Below are 26047 nucleotides of genomic sequence, written 5' to 3' on the forward strand. Positions count from 1 at the left end.
TTAGGCATGGAGTCAGTCTCCTTAAGCAAGTCTAATACAGATATCTAATATAGATTTAATAGCAAAAGATTTAACAGTAATCCTTGTGTATCAGTTAGAATACCTTAGACTGGAAAGAACAAAAATCTCAACAGTCTTAAGCAATAAGGAGTATCTTATTTTCTATCTCTATGCAAACGTCAAGGTCACAGTCATACCTTGAGTTTTACTTGTCAGGCTTTCGTAGTTTAGTTTATATTTTCTTCATCCTGACTCCCTGGCTACCTCAGGTTGTAAGCCTCTCAGAGTGACTCCAGGAGTTGGCTGAGCATTTTGGATACCTTCACAGGTCTGCCTGGGTGTCAGCTGTCATGCTTTCTCAGGTTCCTACCTAACACCATGTCTGCTACTCAGAGCACACTTACGGTATTGAATAGTTCTCCCTGAGACTTGCAATCATCATGACGTTTACCCAGGGATGAAAGCATAGGTCCCCTCATTTCTCAGATTTCTCCTTAACCTTTTGGATTTCTGTTACTGGCCACTACTGTTCTTAGAATCAGTCAGGAGGCCAGGCTTTAGCACCCTTCTTTGAGATTCATTAAAATCTAATCTATTTATATTTCAGCTGAGGCAAATTTTATTCTCAAGCAGGGGTTTCCTGGCTATTTACTCACTTTCTTTCAAATGTAATATTTATAGCCCTAACTATTAACTGGCTTCCTAGGATTTCATCTTTTACATATTAAAATATTCAGCTATCTTGTGTGTATGTGGGAGGAGGTTGTCAGAACATCACTACTTGGATCTGAGAAAGGGTCAGGCAACAAGGAAATGCAATGATAAATATCTCAGCTCATATTTCTTTATTTTATCTGGACTAATGCAGTCACTTAGTGAAGAAAAAAAAAACAGGTGAATTAAAAGTAAAAATATATATATTTAAATAAACCAGTACAACACCATAGACAATGTTGCCTCATGGGCATTTATTATTAACTCAAATATTTATGCAGAACTGCTATGAGAATTCAGAATGTATTTCAAGGCCAAGTTGGTCAAGAACAGTTTCCCAAAGCAGGATTTTTATATAGGTCATGAATAATGACTATAAGTTGCATGGGAATGGAGAGTAGAATTGCATGGTATGTTTTTAGTAGTAGAATAGCCGAATTAGTTACATAAAGCCTGAGTATTATAAAGTGCGTTTGAACAGTAGCAGATGGAACAGTTGCCTGGAGTTGGGAATTCATGGAAATAAGTCCAAGCTAGGGCTCTAAATGCAGTTAGAAAAGAAGATGAACTTTAGTATAGCCTATAAATGATGGTTGGGTTTCATATAAGGTGGTGGGAACCAAGGAACTTGAGTGTTCTAAGTAAAGGAAACATTGGAGATCTAGTCAAAGAAATGGGAGCATCTGGGAAGACTCAGAGAATAGAGCATTACACTTCTACTGAAGTAAAGGCTACATGGCAGAGTATCATGAGCCATGAAACTATACACACAGTTTGGACTTGGAAGAGGACAACCTTAGATTACTTAAAAATTGGACATTGTCATATGTTATTTTTAAGAATGAAACCTAGAAGTGGCTTTTTCTTCTGCCCACATTCAATTGGCCAAAATACGGTGAGATTCTTCTTGATCCTAAGTCTAAGGAAGCTGAGAAATATGACCCCCTTGAGTGTCCAGAAAGAAGACACCGTGTGGTGAGTAATATTGTTTAGACATCCCATAAAATGTTGTATTTAAAATTTGGTGCAAAGGTGGCTATTTCCAGGAAAATTATATGTGCTTATAAATAGTGAAGATTATTTTTACAAACCGACATTAAACTCCTCTACTTTCATAGCTTACTCTTACGAATAGGAAAGAGCATAGGAGAGTCTCTAGCACAATACAGGCTTTGACAATTAAAGAGAAAAATAATGTCATGGTTGCTAATACTTTGTTTATTTGTTTAGAGTGTAGCAGGAGTCACATAAAGATGTAGATTGATTTAATGTAGCTATTAAACGTATTAAATACATTTTTATAGATGTTAATTTTTAAAATTCTTACTGTTTGAAGTTAACCATTTGCCAAATGATTTAATGCACACTCTTGAGTGTGGGCTTTTGAGACCACTCTTGCTTGGAAACTAGTCTATTTGGTTTGGTTACCCTTAGAAGTTGAAGCTTCCTTTAAAGTCTATTGAACTTCAGAAAATTCTTTTTATTTTCAACAGAGCCACAGAATTCTTTTCCTGTCTTTAGCCCTAAGTCTAAGTGCTTTAATATCCGTGTGGACATCCCATCCAATACTCTAGTTTCATAATTTCTTGACTTTCTCAAGTCCCATGACCTTTCAGCCATACATGTCAACCCATTAACTGCTCCATGTCTGATCTCTTTGAATCCCTTGGTTTAGCAGAATGTCAGGAATGTTCAGGAATAGATGCTCAATAAATGTTTACTGGATTAATAAATGGGTTAATGTTGGGTGTTCCATAAATACAGAATAAATATATATGAACTGTTTGTTGACTAACAGCCATCCTGCTCTTGTCTTTCCTAACAGCAGCTCTATTTTGATCATTTATCTATCTCTTCCCCCATCTCTTTATGTATATGTTGGAAGATGGTGACCCGACCTGAACATTCAGAGATGGGCCCAGATTAATTTATGACAATTCTGGAAATCCTAAACCTTTGTCAGTGATTACCCCCAGAATGGTCCTGTGGGCATACTGTGGCCAATGAGACTTAAGGAAAGGATTACTAGAGGGTCCTAGGAAAGTTCTTCCCCATTTTTAGAGGGTAGCAATGGAAAACCACTTTCACTCTCTCCCACTGGAAGTGATCAAGAACACATCTTGTCCTTCTTCCCAACTGGTAGTAGCTAATTTGTGATCATGAAGAAGGCCAGATTGAGGACAATCCTTCTCCATAGGAGATAACCAAGCCTGGAAAATAGCGAAGAACGAAAGCCAGAGCTGGCTCCTGTCATGTGTGACATTCCCCTGCCACACCTCTGCAATTCCAGTTCATTCAGCCAATTAAACACTTTGTTTTTTAATGCCAGTTTCAATAAAGTTGCTAATATGTAATATCAAAAGCACCATCCTGATACAAAATCTCTAGCCAGAGAAATTGGATGATGGCTTTAAAATAAGAAAGTAAAATCATCTATTCCCTTATTATCCCCCAAGGATTGACAATATTCTTTCTCGTCAGTACATAAACACAAAAATTGTTTTAAATGCAAATATCTAAATAATTCAATTACATTGGCAACTATGTATTTTAGGGGGAATTTTTGTTTGGCATTTAAGAACAAATAATATATTTGCCTGAAAGTTCCAATTTTACCTTATGTGGATGGAAAATCAGGATGACTGCTCTGGTTCTGTTTGGCACCTTCTAGAGTTAGTCTGTATTCCTTTCACATGAAAAATGTCAGCATAGAAATTTTACTGCTTTCCTGCTGAGTTTAACTTGCTTTAGGACAGCTGGATCAGGCTAGGCATGAACGTGTAATGTGGATTCCCATAGTTTTTAATGAGCTTTAGGAATTTACACAGTTTGCAGAGTTGGTTCACTACATTGTCAATTTTGTTACATCATTTAGTAAAAGTATGTGTTTTTTTTATTTGAACAAACAAATATTATAGCTATCTTCTAGCAAACAAAAATAAATTGCCAATGTATGTGTTGTACCCCAAAGTGACCTAGGTGGGTACCATTCTAAGAGAAGTCTCAGGCTAAATATTGATGGAAGAGGTTCCATCTAGTCACGTGTTTTTGACATTTTTACAATTAGGGTTTTATGACAGATCAAGGGCTATGTCTACGACCTCGGGGTAGTAGAAGTCTATTTCATGAAAAAAATAGGGATTAAAACATATGTGTAAAATTGATGAAGATAAAGTAGATATTATTGCCCTGGAAATGTGGGGTAGAATTAATTACTCATTTGTTGTACCAAATTTGATTCTGAACTGCCTACCATCTAAGACAAAAATAAACAGTGAATTACATACTTTTCCTTGTCTATGGAATAATAGGAGGCGTAACAGTAGAAAGAAATGTGTTCCCTAAGAACCACATTTTAAAAAACAATATTATATTGTTAGATTTCTTTCTTGGAAAATTTTAGCCAAAATGCAACCATGTGGTTGTATATAGTCAGCACTTATTTCAACCTTCAATAAAAGTTAATGGCATCATGATTAATTGTAAATCTCTGAAGACATTTATAAGGAAGCTAATGTAATGCCTTCCAGGTATGTTGCTCTCTTATAATCAGATTTTTACAGTCATAAAATCAAGTTGGATTTTTAATCACAGAATACTCTGCTCAAATTTAATTGGATTTTGGATAGGAGTGAAGACAGAATTTGAAAATAAGGCTCTTCGTGAAGATCTGAAGTTCAGATACTCTATGATGTTGAAAAGACATTAATACATCTTAAAAATCAGACTCTTGATGCAATTCTGCCCTTAAGAGAGAACTGTTCCGTTTTTTTAAAATGGGGTGGAGTTGAATTTCCCTCAAGAAGTAGCTTTAAGACATACTGATGATCAGGTTAAGTGGCTTCTATTACTATAATTTCTTAAAGGTGAAATATTCACTATATAGATTCTGTACTCCACACGGGAAATTATAAAGTTTTACCATGAAAGCTTCCATTTCAGATTAAAAACTAATTTAAAAAAATGAGAGATTTTAGTTTATTTCAGTTTTCTTTTTTAATCAAGATAAATGACTGCACCCTGAATTGTGCTTGGGGTTGCAGCTCTACTGTAGTTTCACTCTAGGACAAGTGACTTGGCAATCAGCTGTCTCTAAGGAATCTGACTTTCTTTACTATACCTAGGGTCCCTCTGCCTTGTTTCACTCTGATCTGGTGTCTGCCCAGCTCCCAGACCTACAGGCAATATCTGCCCCTAGTCTCCTCCCCTTTCTTCCACAGGCTTCTGGAAGATACATCCTTCCTAGTGTCCTTCCTCTCCTGTGTTCCATCTCCTACAGATTTCTCAGGGGTCTCACTCTGATTGTCTTTCCTCTCTTATATCTTTAACTGCCCACTCAGTGGCTTTTTTCTCATTTTCACTGGACTGTAATCAACTGTCTACCATATTAACAAAAAGTTGCTTTAACTGCTTACTCTCTGTTCTTTCCTTCATAGCAATATTTTTGAAAATGTTACCCATGTTCAGGATCTCCACTTCCGTTATCTCCCTTGATTCCTGAAACCCTACTATCTGGCTTCTGCTGCATCATTTTCCTAAACCTGTTCTCATCGAGGTCATCCGTGACCTCTATGCTGTTCTTTCCGAACAGATGAGCCTTGTTGTGCATGGTTTACCATTCCCTTTTCCTGGAATGAGTTTCTATATTTGGCTTCTTGTCCTTCTCTCCATCTGTCTTGCATCACCTTTGTGGCCTCCCTTTCTCTTATAGTTCCCTTAAATGGAGACTCCTTCGTCTCTTACACCATCATCTCTAGTCTTATTCCCTGATCTGATTATTAGAATCTATCATCGGCTCCCCCCAACCCCTGCTTTCTGACAGATGTTGTTAAAGCACCTCTGTGATTCTGTCTGTTCACCGCTTAAAAATTCACCATGATTTCCTAATGCTTACAAACAGCCTCATCTTATCCTGGCAAGGTAACATTTTCCATAATCTTGTTTTCCTACTGTACAATATCTGTCTTTTGTTTTGAACGTACCTTCTTACCTATTCCACATTGGACTCCGCTCACTTTTGTATTTCTTTATCTTTAAATTAGAATTAAGCCATTTAAATGGAAATGAGCATTGTGTTATGTCCTATGGATATAACTAACAATAACACAAATATGATTTGTGCATTTATATGCTAAATAATCAAGAACTTGTCAAATCATACCTGTAACTCAAACCTCAGCTCAAATGGAGTCTTCTTACATTTATCTAATTCTAATCTTTTCATTTAGAATAAGTATGGATTCTCTTTGAAATCACATACTCTTTTTTGGGTTTTTTAAAAAGTTACATACAGCACTATCAAATTGCGTGTGTGAGTGTGTGTGTGCATGCAAGTAGACACTGTACCACATAGGTATAGGAATGGCCAATAATAAGAAGAATAGATGCTGAATATCATTAGTGGTTAGAGAAATGTGCTCATTGATGAAGCACCATATCCCACCATCATTCATGACTTGTCATCTTCAGTATATTGAATTAGGTGAATAAATGCATCCTCCCATGTTTTCACTTCCGTATATTGTCCTTACCCCTGGATATCACAAAACACTGACTATTTCCAGGGTGTTGCCACTACCTTTTTCTGCTGAGGTCTCTTCATTTCACCCCACTGGGCTGGATCTAGAATAATCCCAGGAAGATGTTCTCTGGCATGGTCTGATCCTCCACAATATGTATGTATCCATGTATGTTTCCTATATTTTTAACATAAAATCAATCAAGATAGGATCTAAGAAAATTTTGTCAGATTTAAGTCAAATGATTTTGTCTAATAAAAACATCAATTACGCTGCTTCACACTCTTATACTCTGTATTTGACCTTCATTTGTTGCAAGAAACCCCTTGAAATACTATGTCATTTAGGTGTTTATGTATTTTGCATGTGCTCATTTACATACTGCATAGGATTTTAGACGATCTACAATACAGAGACAGAATAAAATAGAAATAAAGTATTACACCACAATAAAAATAGAGTTAAGAAAAAGAATGACCCCAAAGAAAGACTGAGACTTAATCACTCTGGGGGTTTAGGTGGTTCATGTGACAGTATGTTGACAGAAAAATAGTTGTCAAATTGGGTTTCATAAAAATATCTTAAATTTAATACTTATTACCAAAACAACACATTTATTTTCAAACCCCAAAAGGCAATTTAAGAATTTCTAGTTAGTGCAATCTAAAGAAGATTCAAACATTCCATGAGAAATAATGAAATTGTGCTAGACCAAGCAATAGCAACAATGAGGTGTGAACCATCACCAAGCATCTTTCTTGTTACTACTCTATGCTCAGAACTAGGAGAAGGGCTGTTCAAGATTAAGGGAGAAGTGGAAGGCACTGAGTTCAAGATGTTGACTTGTCTATCTGGAGAGCGGAGCACATAAAAGACCCAATTATTGATCAAAACAGAACAGACTAAAGCCCTAAGTTGGGTTAAATGAGCAATTTGGAAAAAAATGTTTATTTTCAAAACAATTTATGGAGATAGTTTGCATTTGTATAATATATTTTGACTGCATCCAATGCTGTAATTTTGCTTTAACAAAATAAGTTTAGAAAACTAAAGGATAGAATTATAACATGCTTCTCCAAAGTCACATAGCTAATGATATAATAGGATTAGCACTTATATTTCCTGACTCCTGATAAATTACTCATTTTATTCATGTACCATTTTCGTATTAATCAAAAATATCATTGTATGTCAGAATATAACATATAGATACATAAATAAATATGAAAAAAATGAGCTTAATTCAACCACAGATGTAAATGATCCAAACCGAGACAGTCAGTAGGATCCGGAATATTTTGAAAATCTAACAACACAGCACTCTTTCTTTTATATATTTCTTTGTGTTGTTGAAGTTTCCGTCCACCCCCTCTTCCTATACTAATGGTGAATATTTATTAAAAGCTTATTTTATGCCAACCATGATTTTAAGCATTTCATAAGTATTATTTTACTTAATACTGAAAAATCCCTATGGGGTAGAAGTTGTTATTATCTCCATTTTGCAGATGAGGAACAGGATAGGACATGATTAAATAACTTGTCCAAGGCCACTCAAGTATTAAATATTAGAATCACAGCTTCAATTAAAGGTGATTCTGAATGTCCTCTTAGGTTGAAAATGTCTAACTCTAAAACAAGTGGCGTACCGCCTCAAATAATGTATAGACCAGTTTGGTCTCATTATAACAATACTCTTTATTAATATTGCCCTTCTCTAAGCAGTTGAAAATACTCTGAAAAAAAATCACTAATTAACTATTCTGTCAATTATGTCATATTGTTTCTATTTTTAAATGGAAAACAACATGAGCTTTCTCAAAGCCAGCTTGGTAGCAGTTTCAGGAAGAAAATGTGGATCAAATTTCTTAGACTAAGACACCTCTCATACAGACTTAAGGAGTTAGATTGAAACTAATTATAAATCCATGACATTTTTATTTACCTTAGTATAAGAAATCATCCCTTCCTCCACTCCCAGCCATGCATGCTATTCTACATGACTAATGAGTTAATTTGAGAACTGATGCTTCATCTGGAACAGGTGATGAAGGGTATATAGGAATCAGTGTTAGATGGCAGGTGTCTAAACAATGCCTGATTAAATGAAGTGTGTTTTCCCTCCAATGTATTAGCATAAAGTGTCATATAGCCTCAGAAGTCAAAAACATCAGGAGAGTTGTAAAAGCTAATGAGCCAAGGGATGTTTCCAGGGTTCTGCCATTGTAAAAAAGAATGATTATTTAATGTGTGTGGGGACAACCATATTTATTTTTGTATCAAGCAAATATCCTCACTCTTAGCGTAAATAAAAAGTCATCTGAGCAACAGGGCTCCAAGCTGCCATGGTTCTTTGCTCTGAAATGATAACTTTTTCCTGGAAAGGTAGGGAATCCACTCAGCACACTTGAAAGAAGATAATGGGTTTCAGATTCGCCTATTACTAAAGTGGTCATGAATACCTGGGTGGGGTCTGCCTCTGGGATGGTATCAACCCCAATTTGTACTGGACTTCTTTAGCTAGTTTTCTTCAGAAAGGTAGATCCCAGAGCTATCAGCACCCAGAGCTATCAGCACCTGAATCACCATTAAAATGCAAATTCAGGGCCCACTTCAGTCCCATTGAATCCCTCTTTCAAAGTATAAAGATGAAATCTACATTCCTGGGAATACTTGTCCTTCTTCCCTATTCCTAACTGGTTCTTAATCAGGGGTGTGACACTCTATAAAAATATACATGCCAAGCCCATCACACCCAGTTCTATTCCCATGCAGGATCCTAGGGAAAGTTTATTAGCAGGTGCATTTAAAATAATTCTCTAGTGATTATTCTGAATGTCCCCTTTCGTTCAGAATTGTCCTGGATCTTATTAAACAAGTGGTCTTAAACCTCACTCAGGGTGAGATGGAATCATGCGTAGGTATAAGCATTATTTGTGAGATTATTAATGCTGTGCATCCATCAGCAATATTTCTATGAAACATAGTAATATTGTTGCAATAAGAGAAAGCATATAACATATCCTAATTTAACACACCTTAGGGACTACATATAGGACAGGCATTTCCCCCTAAATTGGAAGACTTTAGAGCCCTGCCCTATTCTAGTCTAGCCCAGTTGTTCAGGTAACTGCAGGTTGACCCACTCCTCTATTGGAAACAATGAGTCAGCTATTATGTCCACGTCTGAAAGTGCTTTCCTGTTGACACCCAAGATATTCCCAGGGATCAGCTGGGAAGCATTCACTTCTAGCTTCCTGGGTATTCCTATCAGAATCCCAGGCCTTTCGGGCCCTTCTGTCCACTTGTCTTGGATATGTGGGGAGGTTTTTTGTTTTTTTTTCTATTATTATTATACTTTAAGTTTTAGGGTACATGTGCACAACATGCAGGTTTGTTACATATGTATACATGTACCATGTTGGTGTGCTGCACCCATTAACTCTTCATTTAACATTAGGTATATCTCCTAATGCTATCCCTCCCCCCTCCCCCCACCCCACAACAGGCCATGGTGTGTGATGTTCCCCTTCCTGTGTCCATGTGTCCTCATTGTTCACTTCCCACCTATCAGTGAGAACATGTGGTGTTTGGTTTTTTGTCTTGCGATAGTTTGCTTAGAATGATGGTTTCCAGCTTCATCCATGTCCCTACAAAGGACATGAACTCATCCTTTTTTATGGCTACATAGTATTCCATGGTGTATATGTGCCACATTTTCTTAATCCAGTCTATCATGGTTGGACATTTGGATTGGTTCCAAGTCTTTGCTATTGGGAATAGTGCCGCAGTAAACATACATGTGCATGTCTTTATAGCAGCATGTTTTATATTCCTTTGGGTATATACCCAGTAACGGGATGGCTGAGTCAAATGGTATTTCTAGTTCTAGATCCCTGAGGAATCGCCACACCAACTTCCAAAATGGTTGAACTAGTTTACAGTTCCACCAACAGTGTAAAACTGTTCCTATTTCTCCACATCCTCTCCAGCACCTGTTGTTTCCTGACTTTTTAATGATCACCATTCTAACTGGTGTGAGATGGTATCTCATTGTGGTTTTGATTTGCATTTGCCTGATAGCCAGTGATGATGAGCATTTTTTCATGTGTCTTTTGGCTGAATAAATGTCTTCTTTTGAGAAGTGTCTGTTCATGTCCTTCACCCACTTTTTGATGGGGTTGTTTGTTTTTTTCTTGTAAATTTGTTTGAGTTCATTGTAGATTCTGGATATTAGCCCTTTGTCAGATGAGTAGATTGCAAAAATTTTCTTCCATTCTGTAGGTTGCCTGTTCACTCTGATGGTAGTTTCTTTTGCTGTGCAGAAGCTCTTTAGTTTAATTAGATCCCATTTGTCAATTTTGGCTTTTGTTGCCATTGCTTTTGGTGTTTTAGACATGAAGTCCTTGCCCGTGCCTATGCCCCGAATGGCATTGCCTAGGTTTTCTTCAGGGTTTTTATGGTTTTAGGTCTAACATGTAGGTCTTTAATCCATCTTGAATTAATTTTTGTATAAGGTGTAAGGAAGGGATCCAGTTTCAGCTTTCTACATATGGCCAGCCAGTTTTCCCAGCACCATTTATTAAATAGGGAATCCTTTCCTGATTTCTTGTTTTTGTCAGGTTTGTCAAAGATCAGATGGTTGTAATATGCGGCATTATTTCTGAGGGCTCTGTTCTGTTCCATTGGTCTATATCTCTGTTTTGGTACCAGTACCATGCTGTTTTGGTTACTGTAGCCTTGTAGTATAGTTTGAAGTCAGGTAGCATGATGCCTCCAGCTTTGTTCTTTTGGCTTAGGATTGACTTGGCAATGCGGACTCTTTTTTGGTTCCATACTAACTTTAAAGTAGGTTTTCCCAATTCTGTGAAGAAAGTCATTGGTAGCTTGATGGAGATGGCATTGAATCTATAAATTACCTTGGGCAGTATGGCCATTTTTACAATATTGATTCTTCCTACCCATGAGCATGGAATGTTCTTCCATTTGTTTGTATCCTCTTTGATTTCATTGAGCAGTGTTTTGTAGTTCTCCTTGAAGAGGTCCTTCACATCCCTTGTAAGTTGTATTCCTAGGTATTTTATTCTCTTTGAAGCAATTGTGAATGGGAATTCACTCATGATTTGGCTCTCTGTTTGTCTGTTATTGGTGTATAAGAATGCTTGTGATTTTTTCACATTGATTTTGTATCCTGAGACTTTGCTGAAGTTGCCTATTAGCTTAAGGAGATTTTGGGCTGAGACAATGGGGTTTTCTAGATGTACAATCATGTCATCTGCAAACAGGGACAATTGGACTTCCTCTTTTCCTAATTGAATACCTTTTATTTCCTTCTCCTGCCTGATTGCCCTGGCCAGAACTTCCAACACTATGTTGAATAGGAGTGGTGAGAGAGGGCATCCGTGTCTTGTGCCAGTTTTCAAAGGGAATGCTTCCAGTTTTTGCCCATTCAGTATGATATTGGCTGTGGGTTTGTCATAGATAGCTCTGATTATTTTGAGATACATCCCATCAATAACTAATTTATTGAGAATTTTTAGCATGAAAGTTGTTGAATTTTGTCAAAGGCCTTTTCTGCATCTATTGAGATAATCATATGGTTTTTGTCATTGGTTCTGATTATATGCTGGATTATGTTTATTGATTTGCGTGTGTTGAACCAGCCTTGCATCCCAGGGATGAAGCCCACTTGATCATAGTGGATAAGCTTTTTGATGTGCTGCTGGATTTGGTTTGCCAGTATTTTATTGAGGATTTTTGCAGATGTTCATCAGGGATATTGGTCTAGAATTCTCTTTTTTTTGTTGTGTCTCTGCCAGGCTTTGGTATCAGGATGATGCTGGCCTCATAAAATGAGTTAGGGAGGATTCCCTCTTTTTCTATTGATTGGAATAATTTCAGAAGGAATGGTACCAGCTCCTCCTTGTACCTCTGGTAGAATTTGGCTGTGAATCCATCTGGTCCTGGACTTTTTTTGGTTGGTAAGCTATTAATTGTTGCCTCAATTTCAGAGCCTGTTATTGGTCTTTTCAGAGATTCAACTTCTTCCTGGTTTAGTCTTGGGAGGGCGTATGTGTGGAGGCATTTATCCATTTCTTCTAGATTTTCTAGTTTATTTGTGTAGAGGTCTTTATAGTATTCTCTGATGGTAGCTTGTATTTCTGTGGGATCGGTGGTGATATCCCTTTTATCATTTTTTCTTGCATGTATTTGATTCTTCTCTGTTTTCTTCTTTATTAGTCTTGTTAGCGGTCTGTCAATTTTGTAGATCTTTTCAAAAAACCAGCTCCTGGAATCATTGATTTTTTGAAGGGTTTTTTGTGTCTCTATTTCCTTCAGTTCTGCTCTGATCTTAGTTATTTCTTGCCTTCTGCTAGCTTTTGAATGTGTTTGCTCTTGCTTTTCTAGTTCTTTTAATTGTGATGTTAGGGTGTCAATTTTAGATATTTTCTGCTTTCTCTGGTGGGCATTTAGTGCTACAAATTTCCCTCTACACACTGCTTTTAATGTGTCCCTGAGATTCTGATATGTTGTATCTTTGTTCTCGTTGGTTTCAAAGAACATCTTTATTTCTGCCTTCATTTCGTTATGTACCCAGTAGTCATTCAGGAGCAGGTTGTTCAGTTTCCATGTAGTTGAGCGGTTTTGAGTGAGTTTCTTAATCCTGAGTTCTAGTTTGATTGCACTGTGGTCTGAGAGACAGTTTGTTATAATTTCTGTTCTTTTACATTTGCTGAGGAGTTCTTTACTTCCAACTATGTGGTCAGTTTTGGAATAGGTGTGGTGTTGTGCTGAAAAGAATGTATATTCTGTTGATTTGGGGTACGGAGTTCTGTAGATGTCTATTAGGTCCACTTGGTGCAGAGCTGAGTTTAGTTCCTGGATATCCTTTTTAACTTTCTGTCTCTTTGATCTATCTAATGTTGACAGTGGGGTGTTAAAGTCTCCCATTATTGTATGGGAGTCTAAGTCTCTTTGTAGGTCACTGAGGACTTGCTTTATGAATCTGGGTGCTCCTGTATTGGGTGCATATATGTTTAGGTTAGTTAGCTCTTCTTGTTGAATTGATCCCTTTACCATTATGTAATGGCCTTCTGTGTCTCTTTTGATCTTTGTTGGTTTAAAGTCTGTTTTATCAGAGACTAGGATTGCAACCCCTGCCTTTTTTTTGTTTTCCATTTGCTTGGTAGATCTTCCTCCATCCCTTTATTTTGAGCCTGTGTGTGTCTCTGCACATGAGATGGGTTTCCTGAATACAGCATACTGATGGGTCTTGACTCTTTATCCAATTTGCCAGTCTGTGTCTTTTAATTGGAGCATTTAGCCCATTTACATTTAAGGTTAATATTGTTATGTGTGAATTTGATCCTGTCATTATGATGTTAGCTGGTTATTTTGCTCATTAGTTGATGCCGTTTCTTCCTAACCTTGATGGTCTTTACAATTTGGGATGTTTTTGCAGTGTCTGGTACCAGTTGTTCCTTTCCATGTTTAGTGCTTCCTTCAGGAGCTCTTTTAGGGCAGGCCTGGTAGTGACAAAATCTCTCAGCATTTGCTTGTCTGTAAAGTATTTTATTTCTCCTTCACTTCTGAAGCTTAGTTTGGCTGGATATGAAATTCTGGGTTGAAAATTCTTTTCTTTAAGAATGTTGAATATTGGCCCCCACTCTCTTCTGGCTTGTAGAGTTTCTGCCAAGAGATCTGCTGTTAGTCTAATGGGCTTCCCTTTGTGGGTAACCTGACCTTTCTCTGTGGCTGCCCTTAACATTTTTTCCTTCATTTCAACTTTGGTGAATCTGACAATTAAGTGTCTTGGAGTTGCTCCTCTGGAGGAGTATCTTTGTGGTGTTCTCTGTATTTCATGAATTTGAATATTGGCCTGCCTTGGTAGATTGGGGAAGTTCTCCTGGATAATATCCTGCAGTATGTTTTCCAACTTGGTTCCATTCTCCCTGTCACTTTCAGGTACACCAATCAGAAGTAGATTTGGTCTTTTCACATAGTCCCATATTTCTTGGAGGCTTTGTTCTTTTTCTTTTTTCTCTAAACTTCTCTTCTCACTTCATTTCATTCATTTGATCTTCCATCACTGATACCCTTTCTTCCAGTTGAGCAAATTGGCTACTGAGGCTTTTGCATTCGTCATGTATTTCTCGTGCCATGGTTTTCAGCTCCATCAGGTCCTTTAAGGACTTCCCTGCATTGGTTATTCTAGTTATCCATTTGTCTAATTTTTTTTCAAGGTTTTTAACTTCTTTGCCATGGGTTCGAACTTCCTCCTTTAGCTTGGAGTAGTTTGATCGTCTGAAGCCTTCTTCTCTCAACTTGTCAAAGTCATTCTCCGTCCAGCTTTGTTTGGTTGCTGGTGAGGAGCTGCATTCCTTTAGAGGAGGAGAGGCGTTCTGATTTTTAGAGTTTCCAGTTTTTCTGCTCTGTTTTTTCCCTGTCTTTGTGGTTTTATCTACCTTTGGTCTTTGATGATGGTGACGTACAGATGGGGTTTTGGTGTGGATGTCCTTTCTGTTTGTTAATTTTCCTTCTAACAGTCAGGACCCTCAGCTGCAGGTCTGTTGGAGTTTGCTGGAGGTCCACTCCAGACACTTTTTGCCTGGGTATCAGCAGGAGAGGCTGCAAAATAGCGAATATTGGTGAACAGCAAATGTTGCTGCCTGATCGTTCCTCTGGAAGTTTTGTCTCGGAGGAGTACCTGGCTGTGTGAGGTGTCAGTCTGCCCCTACTGGGGGGTGCCTCCCAGTTAGGCTACTCGGGGGTCAGGGACCCACTTGAGGAGGCAGCCTGTCCATTGTCAGATCTCCAGCCATGTGCTGGGAGAACCACTACTCTCTTCAAAGCTGTCAGACAGGGACATTTAAGTCTGCAGAGTTTTCTGCTGCCTTTTGTTTGTCTATGCCCTGCCCTCAGAGGTGGAGTCTACAGAGGCAGGCAGGCCTCCTTGAACTGTGGTGGGCTCCACCCTGTTCGAGCTTCAGGGCCGCTTTGTTTACCTACTCAAGCCTCAGCAATCGTAGGCACCCCTCCCCCAGCCTCGCTGCCACCTTGCAGTTTGATATCAGACTGCTGTGCTAGCAATGAGCAAGGTTCCGTGGGCCTTGGACCCTCCACGCCAGGCACTGGATATAATCTCCTGGTGTGCCATTTGCTAAGACCGTTGGAAAAGTGCAGTATTAGGGTGGGAGTGACCCGATTTTCCAGGTGCCATCTCTCACCCCTTTCTTTGACTAGGAAAGGGAATTGCCTGACCCCTTGCACTTCCCGGGTGAGGTGATGCCTCGCCCTGCTTTGGCTCACATTCAGTGTGCTGCACCCACTGTCCTGCACCCACTGCCTGACACTCCCCAGTGAGATGAACCCGGTACCTCAGTTGGAAATGCAGAAATCACCCATCTCCTGCATTGCTCACACTGGGAGCTGTAGACTGGAGCTGTTCCTATTCAGCCATCTTGGCTCCACACCCTCGTGAGGACGTTTTGTGTCCTCTTCTCCTGCACTAGCATCAGGGGAGAGAAATGCTGTCAGTGACTCAGCTATTTGGCCAGGGCTCAGTTTCAATAAGGAGCTGGGTCATACTTATGTCTTTCCTCTCCTCTGTCAGTCAGATCACCACAACTTAATCTGATAGGCTCACTGTTCCTGCTTGTTTTGAGGTGGGCAGGCCTATGCATACCTGTCTCCAAAGTCTGTGAAAGCTGAGAAGCCAAAGAGAGTGGCTATCACGCCATTCTCCTGCCTCAGCCTCTCCGAGTAGCTGGGACTACAGGTGCCTGCCATCATACCCGGCTAATTTTTTGTATTTTTAGTAGAGATGGGGTTTCACCATGGTCTTGATCTCCTGACCTTGTGATCCACCTGCCTTGGCCTCCCAAAGTGCTGGGATTACAAGCGTGAGCCACTGCGACCGGCCATTTATGAATACCTTCGTGGGGTCTGCCTCTGGGATGGTATCACCCCCAATTAGTACTGGACTTCTTTAGCTAGTCTTCTTCAGAAAGGTAGATCCCAGAGCTATCAGCACCTGGGAACGTTTCTCAGAAGAAATGTTTAATAGGGACTTACCAATAAAAGCCATGTCTGTGTCTCAGGCTGTGTGAGAGAAGATGGTGGATTTCCATCAGAAAAGAGGGGAACAATTGAAGCACAATAACAGAAAAGTTGTTTTATCTAAGAGCAAGATCTATAGTAAGTTTCTGTTCTTACACAAAGAACAGCAGATAAACTGGAAATCTTAGAGGCTTTCCTGGAGCAGAGGCTAATCAGAAGCCAACATGGCAGATTAGCTTCCAAGACAGAGTTGCTTTAGCCTACACACTACTCTATCCTTCTGAGGCTATATCCCCACCCCATTCTAAACTTATGTGAATGTATTATACCCATTTTTCCTCGTAGCCTAAAATCAACTCTATATACAGACCAAATGCTATTTTCTGCAAATTCTAATATTTGAGAGTCCATTCTGTGGTGGTCTAACTCATGACTTTCTGGCATAACTTTTTTCTTTCAACATTTGGTGTAGATAAAATGAGTTTTATATAATTCATTGTCCCTGGATCCTCCTGGCCAGACATTTAAAGCTAAACTCCCATCTGATTCTGAAGAGCTTATAATACTTTCAGAAGAGATAATGTTTGCTAAATTTTCATGCACATATTTAAAACATGCAGTGAGCATAGTTCCTCAGAAAGGTGATCCAACTCAAAGGTTATATAATTTCATATGTGTTCTCCTTCTGTTTATATAATGAAAAACACTGTTAAATTCTGAAGGATAAATAGAAACCCTTTTCTGCATAGACATTCTCCCTTAGTCTTTCATCAGAGGTTATTTAGTTTTTCTGAATTTTGAAGGAAGATTAAGGAATTTTAATGGAGGGTTGAAAATGGCAAATAATCACAAGCATCTTCAAAAGGCCAATAAATTCATTTATCTGCCAGCTAATAAAATATTTAACTCCATTTATGGCTAGAATTAATTTCATGATATTTTCAGGAAATGAGAAGAGTTGTTCATTTGGAATGAAACATTAAAAATATTAGTGATTTTGTAAACAACTTTAAGAATACAATAAGCATATCTGTAGATTTATTGGTCTTTCATTGGTAAGCATTGGCAATGAAAGTTCCAATAAGAACTGGATTTGGGGGTATGGGGAACAAATATGGCCATCTAGCAAAAGCAACATGAACATATGTAAATGTTAAAAAATCATCTCTTTTATTCTGAATGAATTCAACAATATGCAGAGTGAATAATTTTGTTTTGTTTTATTTTATTTTTTGAGACAGAGTCTTCCCCTGTCATCTGAGCTGGAGTGCAGTGGTGTGATCTCAGCTCACTGCAGCCTCCGCCTCTGGGGTTCAAGCGATTCTCCTGCCTCAGCCTCCGGAGTAGCCGGGATTACAGGTGCCTGCCACCATGTCTGGCTAATTTTTATATTTTTAGTAGAGACAGGGTTTTGCTACATTGGCCAGGCTGGTCTCAAACTCCTGACCTCAAGTAATCCTCCTGCCTCAGCCTCCCAAAGTGCTGGGATTACAGGCATGAGCCACCACACCCAGCCTGAAGTGTGTAATTTTAAAATGTATTTCTATATCCTAATAATTTAATGTTTTATGCATTATTTTTAGAAAAATAAAATTTTATTAAGTTGATTTTATGAACAGAAGTAGTTATTATAATGGAAAGACTGGGAAACATTATTAATGGTGCATCTAAAATAAGGATGCTTGAAAACACACAATGTTTTCTCCAAACTTTTTTAGACATAAATATTACGGAAGTTCTGTACTAAAGTTGTGCAATATAGTTTTGGTTTTGCATTATAATATTTAAAATACATGTCAATCATATACTTACTGGAATTAGATACCCTGTTAGTAGCTCTAAATATTACTTTTATATTTTTAAATGATTTTATGATATTTATAATATTAATATAATTTTGTAACAAACTCTGACCCTACTGATATTATATCCTTCTCAATTTGCAGTTGTTTCATCTTGGAACCTTTTTATTTTTTAAAGGAATAATTACAATCAATAATGTTTTAAAATTCCTATAAGGCATAGTTTCTGATTTATGTGTAATATAATGATTCACAAAGCATATTTTCAAAGAAGGGTTAAATATATTAGGAAAATTCTTTGTTCTGTATTTTGCTCTTACAACCCACAAATCCCATCAGCATAGGAAACATTCTGAGTCTAATGGTAATACAGCCTCTTACATTGTTGGTCCTTACATTTCATAAAGTCCTGTCAACATGAAATTATTTTACAGGGAATTTTGGGAAGCAGTATTTAAAAGAAACACAGGGCTAGGCGCGGTGGCTCATGCCTGTAATCCCAGCACTTTGGGAGGCCGAGGCAGGCAGATCATGAGGTCAGGAGTTCAAGACCAGCCTGGCTAACATCGTAAAACCCCATTTCCATTAAAAATGCAAAAATTAGCCAGACGTGGTGGCGGCTGCGTGTAATTCCAGCTACTCTGGAGGCCGAGGCTTGAAACCAGAAGGTGGAGGTTGCAGTGAGCTGAGATTGCGCCACTGCACTCCACCCTGGGCGAAACGAGCAAAACTCCGTCTCAAAAAAAAAAAAAAAAAAAAGAAGAAGAAGAAGAAAGAAACACAGTGGTACCTCCTAGGCAATCCCCATGCAATGCTCTTGGCTTAGAGTTTAACTGTGATTAACGGTCCTCTTCCACAAGGTCAGAGATGGAGTCAGTGGCCCCTCTGGTTCCTTTCTAAATTTGGAAAAGGTGGTATCAGTCTTTCAGGTTCAGTGGAAGACAGACCTGCTGCTCAGCGTTTAGATCATTGAAAAGTAGTTGTTAGGTGATTCTCCCTTTAACTCAATAATTATCATCATTTTTTTTGCTGAAAAGAATAAGGATGGAAAAAATCAGAATGGACAGAACAATATGCCATAAAGTCAAGCAGTGCGGTAGAAGCATCTTCACATCCTGAAAACAAATGTAGCTACTTTCAAAAAAGATTCTTGAGAAACACTGTGTAATATTTGAAGAAAAAAGAATCTTGCTCACAATTTTTGCTTTTGGACTTCTTGTTGAAACAGACTATATTTTTATTCAGTGTTTGCTGAGTGTTTTCCTGTTCACATAATGCCCAGTATGTGCCCAGAAGTGAGCTGTGAAAGCAACCGTACACTTTTGCTAGTAGGAAAGTAGCTCCATCTCAGCTAAGCATACTCCATGTCAGAAGCAACCGGATGACATTAAGGATGCAGTCTATGGGAAATAATGTGTTCTTTTCTTCCCAAATGCTAGCTAATGAGAACCAGGTCCTTGGCCTCATCAGCACTAAGCTCTCTTAGCTGTAACCTGGTTCAGTATTACAGCACTAAGCTTTCTTAGCTATAACCTGGCTCAATATTACTAATAGAGGTGACAGCCTCTAAGACATTAGAGGAGAAAAGGTAAACTTTTTTGCATGTCATAAATAATTTCTAGGTGATGAGTTTCTATCATAAAAGTGTACTATGCATTGGAGAAACACTCCATGTATAAAGAAAACCTACAAAATGTGGACTGATCATTATCAAGCCTTAAACAAATGTGATGATTGACAGCAAAAGAGGTTTTCTCTGCTATAGAGAATAATGTCTTGAGAATTTGGAGACCATTTTTATTTTCCGTTTCCCTGTTAGTTTTCTGAATCTTACCCTAATCAAGTTTGACCTGTTTCCTTGACCTTTCAATATTATTGGGGAATGAAAAATGTAAAGATGCTTACATGGCATATAGTTCCAGAAATCAACTTATCATGGAAAAATGCCAATGCAGGATAGGATATGCAGATGATGCAACAGACATTCTCAGCTCCGATCTGTTATCTAGGGCTTTCAGAAGCTTACAGGGTCTCCTTGCCATCTTATCAGAACCAGAATTTCAAACTTGGAACTCATGATCTTTCTCATAAAATTAGCTACTATCCCCTGAAGTTTACTTTCTGTTGGTGATACCTCTGTTCTTCAAGGTTCCCGTTTTAAATGGATTGATGCATCTTCCAAGGATCTCTTTGGTTTACCCCCAGCTTTTCAATCCTTGTTTCCTGGCATTCTCTCTTGAGCTCTACTTTAAGCCACCCTGCCTGTGGACATATCATGAAAGTTTCTCCCTCTGGGCCTTGTTTATGCCCTTTCCTGCTCTGGGGTCTTCCTCACTTCTTCCAAGCCATCCAAATCCTAACCAAGCACCAGGTCAGTGACCTCATGAATCCAGAATTCCTATTATGTTTTACTTCTTTTGTCAACATCACTACACATTTCATACCTGATTTCTCATTATCTTGTTTCTTTTCTGTGTACCTCTACAGCTCAACACTGTTATCTTGCTGTGCTGTCCTAGGGACACTGCTATTTCAATCCTCATACATTGTATGGGCCATGTAATAGATGCTCTATAAATATTTAAAAAGACAGCAGTTGGAACAACTTGGAGGAGATCATCTCACTTAATACATTTTTTTATTATTGTTGTTTTATGATTTTTGTTATTTGATTTTGCTTTTTTCAATGCCTGGGGTAAAATGAGAGTTCAAGGTGAAGTAATTTATTTACAAACACTCAAAGTTGAGACTCAACCCAATGCCTTTGATCCCTTCCCTGTGCTCTTTCTTTCTTTTTTAAAACAGCGTTGTTGAAGTGTAATTCACATGCCATAAAATTCACTCTTTTAATGTGTGCAGTTCATGGCTTTTAGTATACTCATAGAATTGTGCAACCATCACCACAATCTGATTGTAGATTTTTATTATGAATCTCTTAGCAGTGCCCTCCTCACACTTCAGCCATAGGTAACCACTAGTCTGATTTCTGTCTCTATGTATTTGTGTATTCTGAACATTTCATATAAATGAAATCATACTAGATGTGGTCTGTTGTGATTGGCTTCTTTCATTTACTGAAATGTTTTAAGGTTCATCCATTTGGAGCACGTGCCAATATTTTATTCCTTTTGATTGCTGCATAATATTCTATTGTATAGACATAACATTTCATTTATCCATCCTTCAGATCACAGATGTTTGGGCTGTTTTTACATTTTTACTATTATGAAGAATGCTGCTATGAATATTTATGTACAAGTTTTTGTGTAAATGCGTGTTTTTGTTTCTTTTTGGTAGACAACTAGATTAATTGCTGAGTCATGCAATAACACTATGTTTAACCTTTATATACACACACACACACTCTCTCTCTCACACACACACACACACACACACATATATATATATATATAGAGAGAGAGAGAGAGACAGAGACAGAGAGACAGAGACAGAGACAGACATAGACACAGACACAGTCTTGCTCTGTCACCCAGGCTGGAGTGCAGTGGTACAATCTCAGCTTACCGCAACCTCTACCTCCTAGGTTCAAGCAATTCTCCTGCCTCAGCCTCTTGAGTAGCTGGGATTATAGGTATCTGCCACCATGCCTAACTAACTTTTGTATTTTTAGCAGAGACGAGGTTTCATCATGTTGGCCAGCCTGGTCTCGAACTCCTGACCTCAGGTGACCCTCCTGCCTCATCCTCCCAAAGTGCTGAGATTACAGGCATGAGCCACTGTGCCCGGCCAATATTCTTTTGAGACAGGGTCTTTCTCTGTCACCCAGGGTAGAATGCAGTGGTGCAAACACTGCTTACTGCAGCCTCAACCTCCTGGGCTCAATTGATCCTCCTAGAACCACAGGCATGAATAATCATGCCCAACTAATTTTTTTTAGTTTTATTTTTTGTACAGACGGGGTCACACCATCATGCCCAGGCTAGCCTCGAACTTCTGGGCTCAAGCAATCCTCCTGACTTGGTCTCCCCAAATGCTAGGATTAAAGGTGTAAGCCAATGTGCCCGGCCACATATTCGTTATTGTTAATGAGAAATGGTCAGTACTTTATGTTTGGGACTTGTCAAGTTGAGTAGACATAAATACTTTTAGGTTTGTGAATAGCAGGTTTCCAAGGTTTAATATTTAATAAAATTCAAACCTGGTACAGATTGATTACTTCTAAAGGAGATCCTTTTGTATTATAACTACAGGTATAATTATTTTGCAGTCATAAAAAGTAAGCACTTCAAAGCACTAAAAAATTCCCCCGTGTGAGCACCTTATTGCAAACTTATTACTTTGGGGGGTAGCTGAGAGCTTCCATTGTATCTGAAATATTTGATTTCCACTTGAACACAGGCAGCAAAAATGAGTTTATAGAATGTCTCTGAGGTAAATTTAGCCAAAAACAAGATTAATATTAAGTGTTGTCTCTGGCTTTCTTTCAAAGGAATTTTTTCTCAGTGGGAGGTCATTTCTTCTGTAACCTAAAGCATCATGATTTTTACAGATTTGTCAAAAAATGTTAGCAATTCAAACTAGGCAATCTGATTTACACATACTTATGTAAATAGAACATGTAACAGATATGTTGAGTTTAAACTAGCCTCACATAGATTTGGGGAGGAAGGAAATTATGCTTTTTCACAATTAATAAAATTTAAAATCACAAGAATTATCACTTTATTTGGCTTATAGAATTAAAATTAAGAAATATTTTTTCTTCCTTTCACCCAGAGAAATGTTAAGATGAAATGCCTTCTTACATATTCAATAAGCTTCTCTCAAGAATGTGTCTAATCAGGACTTCTCAGCCTTCAATTTTCTCATTTGCAATGCTATTCTCATTCCCCTTTATTCCCTTTGTTATTTGGCCTTGAAAAAAAATGGCGAGATTCATATCTCTGTCCAACTGCTGAAATCTCACAAGTTTAAAATGGCAATGTTTTTATGGAGGAATCGTGGTGCTGTCACGGTGATTTCAGAAAGCCTTACTTCTGTTTTGCTCTCTCTCAGTCTTTATTATGACCACCTGAACAGGATGAGGGGCCAAAGACACTGCCACTGTGTGTCAGCTAAAGAGCAGAGGACTGGGCTTGGCCTGCAGTGAGGAACTGTAGGGAATGAGGATGGATGAGTGGACAAGGAACTAGGGCTGCAAAGACCACCTTTGGGATAGAAGGCAATTGCTTTTTATAGAGTGTAGTCTCCAGGTCATTTACACTAGAAATGTGTTTTTAGAGGAAAGAATATTGTCCATTAGTGAACAGATGGTCTCAGCAGGAAAGGCATCTCAGGGGCAAGTTTTACTCAAGTTTAGAGTTCACAACAATTATCCTGATAGATGTGTGTGCGTGTGTGTGTGTGTGTGTGCATGCACGCGCATGCCTGTGGGTATATGTGCACTTGTGCCTGTGCATATGGGATTTTTCTTTTAGCTTGCTTGACTGGAATGATAAAATAACTAGCGTATTCTTTATTTATTTGCTATAAAATGATAAAATGTGGTTTTAACAAAAAATGTTTTAAAATATTGTTCATTGAACTTTAACAACACACATACACGAATTTTTCTTGCATTTGCCAAATCAAAACAGGTTTCATCCTGGTGTTCTTAGTTTAACAACAATGGTCTATTTTACATTAAAGCCTATTAGTCAACCCTGAGCACAAAACTCCATCCAAGGTGGTGACTCCAACTATGACACCCCCTCTCCACCATATCAACCTAGATCTTAAGTGAAAAAGTACAGGGGAAAATTATTCTCCTGCATGCAAAGAATAGGAAAAGAGAAAGGCATAGAATGTTAAGAATAATAGTCGTAATATTAATGGCAATTACATTAATCATTGTCTTTCAAGTACCTGTTTTGCGCCAGGCACAATGCTAAGTCGTCTATGTATATTGTATTGTTGTTTCTCCTGATAGCTCCATGTGGTCAAGACTATTATTGAACCCTTTTGGTAGACAAGGAAACTGAGGCAAAGAAATGTTAAGGAACAGTCCCAAAGTGCACAGCTAGATGAAAATCTAGAAATTGCACTCTAGAGTCTGGTTGCTCTAGAGTCAGTTTACTCAAGTATAATTTCTGGATTATATGATATCTCTCCGATAAGATGAGTGTTTCCTAGAGGTGAGCCCCCTAGAGTTTGGGCTGGAGAATGGATGGCAATAGGATAGATTAAGGCTTGGAATGTTGACGGAGAAAGAGCCTTCTAGAAGAGAAATATACTATACTTTAAGGCAGGGTTTAGAAAATGCATGTGGTGCATTCATGGGATAATGAAGAATCCAGGCTGCTCCATTGGGCTGTTTATGCTGGAAACACTAGTTGGAGGGACAGGTAGTTATGCAATTTGTAGTAGACAACCTCTCCCTAGCAAGGTAGAAAAGCAAGAGAGGTAGGAACAAAATTCTGAGTTTTTATTTTTCCATCCATATTTTAAGACAGATGCACAATATCTGCAGTTTGACCACTTACCTCAAAAGAGTGCTACCCATAAGCTCCTGGCTCCAAGAATGCTTTTGTTCAAACATAGGAGGGGATTTGAAAGATGCTTTGAAGATGGTGGTCTGAATATTTTAACTATAGTAAGGAATTCCTAGTCAATTTTTGTTATTCTTTGTTTTTGGGGGAGGGGGAAAAGTGCCAAATATTTTCATATAGGAAGAATAGAGTATTCAAAATCTTTCTAAAAACCTAATTATATATGATTAGTTGTAAGATTTTAATCCTAGAGTTTGGACAGATCTCAACATTAAAATGACGGTTTTGGAAAATTGTTTAAAGATACAAATGTCAATTTGCTTCCTGGGATTCATATACTGGGAGGTTTTACCCTAATATGTTTAGAAGGCAGAATTTGGAAACAAAGGGCTCCCTACTTCTTACAGTTTTACTTTGTACTTCATGATGCTGAAAATGTAATTAGCCCCTCGATACCATATGGCACATTGGTACCCATTGTTATCTTTTTAAAATTATGTTTTAGGGCCCTAACCTATGTAGATTTTAACTCTGCAGATTTATCCAAAGTACTTCATCTTATGGCATGATTTTAAGGCTTTATTCATAATTTTTACTTATTATTAAGAGAAAACTCTCTAGGATCTTTTTTCTAGTATAAGCAGATTATATTTATAGAGTCCTTACTATGTGCCAGGTACTACTTATTAAAAGTACATTCAACTGGCTTAATTCTCACAATACTTTGTGAGGTAAGTAATATTACCCATTTTATTGTTAAGGCATAAAATTTTCAATAACTACCACAATGGAGCATAGCTATTACATAGTGGAGCTCAGTGTGAAATCAAACATTTTGGCTCTAGAGATTTTGCTACTCACCACTGTGCTATGCTACAAGGGTAAGGTTAAACCCACATATCAGCCTATATAATACTAGAGTGTTTTGGTTAATAAGTAGGAGCACTTTCTTTTCTACAATCTAGAAAAGTGCTATTGAAGGGAGGTTTCCTAAGTGGTCTCTGACCATAGATACAGATGAGATATTTAAAGGAGGTTTTTAACTACATCACTATGTAATGAGTGGAGGAAGCAATATGTAATACTTATCTATTATTGCATAAAAAATTACCCCAAAACTTACTGGCTTAAAGCAACAAATATACATCATCTGCCAGTTCCTATGAGTCTGGAATCCAGGTATGATTCAGCTGGGTGCCTGTGGCTCAGAATCTCCCACAATGCTGTCTCAAGTTATGAATAGGAGCTGTGTTTTCATCTGCAAGTTTGACTGGGGAAGGTCTGCTTCAAAGCTCATACATTTGGCTGTTGGCAGGCCCCAGGTACTCTGGCTGTTGGACAGAGACATCTGTTCCTTGCTCCATGGACCTCTCCATAGGGCAGGTCATAGCAAGGCATCTGAATTCCCTCAGAGCAAGCCAGCAAGACAGGGAAACTCAAGCCGGAAGCTATCTTTTGTGACCTT

At 38.2% G+C, this 26047-nt stretch overlaps 1 protein-coding gene across 5 annotated transcripts in view, besides 1 other annotated feature; it reads left to right on the top strand.

The window, feature by feature from the left end:
- Window positions 1-26047, top strand: part of DCC (DCC netrin 1 receptor) — a 1195703-nt gene that overhangs the window by 905447 nt on the left and 264209 nt on the right. The window lies entirely within an intron of this gene.
- Window positions 8494-9085: an enhancer, noted in NCBI's record as "OCT4-NANOG hESC enhancer chr18:50780507-50781098 (GRCh37/hg19 assembly coordinates)". NCBI's record gives its function as "activates a minimal SCP1, AML or CMV promoter by ChIP-STARR-seq in primed H9 embryonic stem cells {active_cell/tissue: H9 hESC(primed)}" and the evidence as "EXISTENCE:reporter gene assay evidence [ECO:0000049][PMID:30033119]".

This window comes from Homo sapiens, chromosome 18 (assembly GCF_000001405.40).
Source record: "Homo sapiens chromosome 18, GRCh38.p14 Primary Assembly".
NCBI classification, from domain to species: domain Eukaryota; kingdom Metazoa; phylum Chordata; class Mammalia; order Primates; family Hominidae; genus Homo; species Homo sapiens.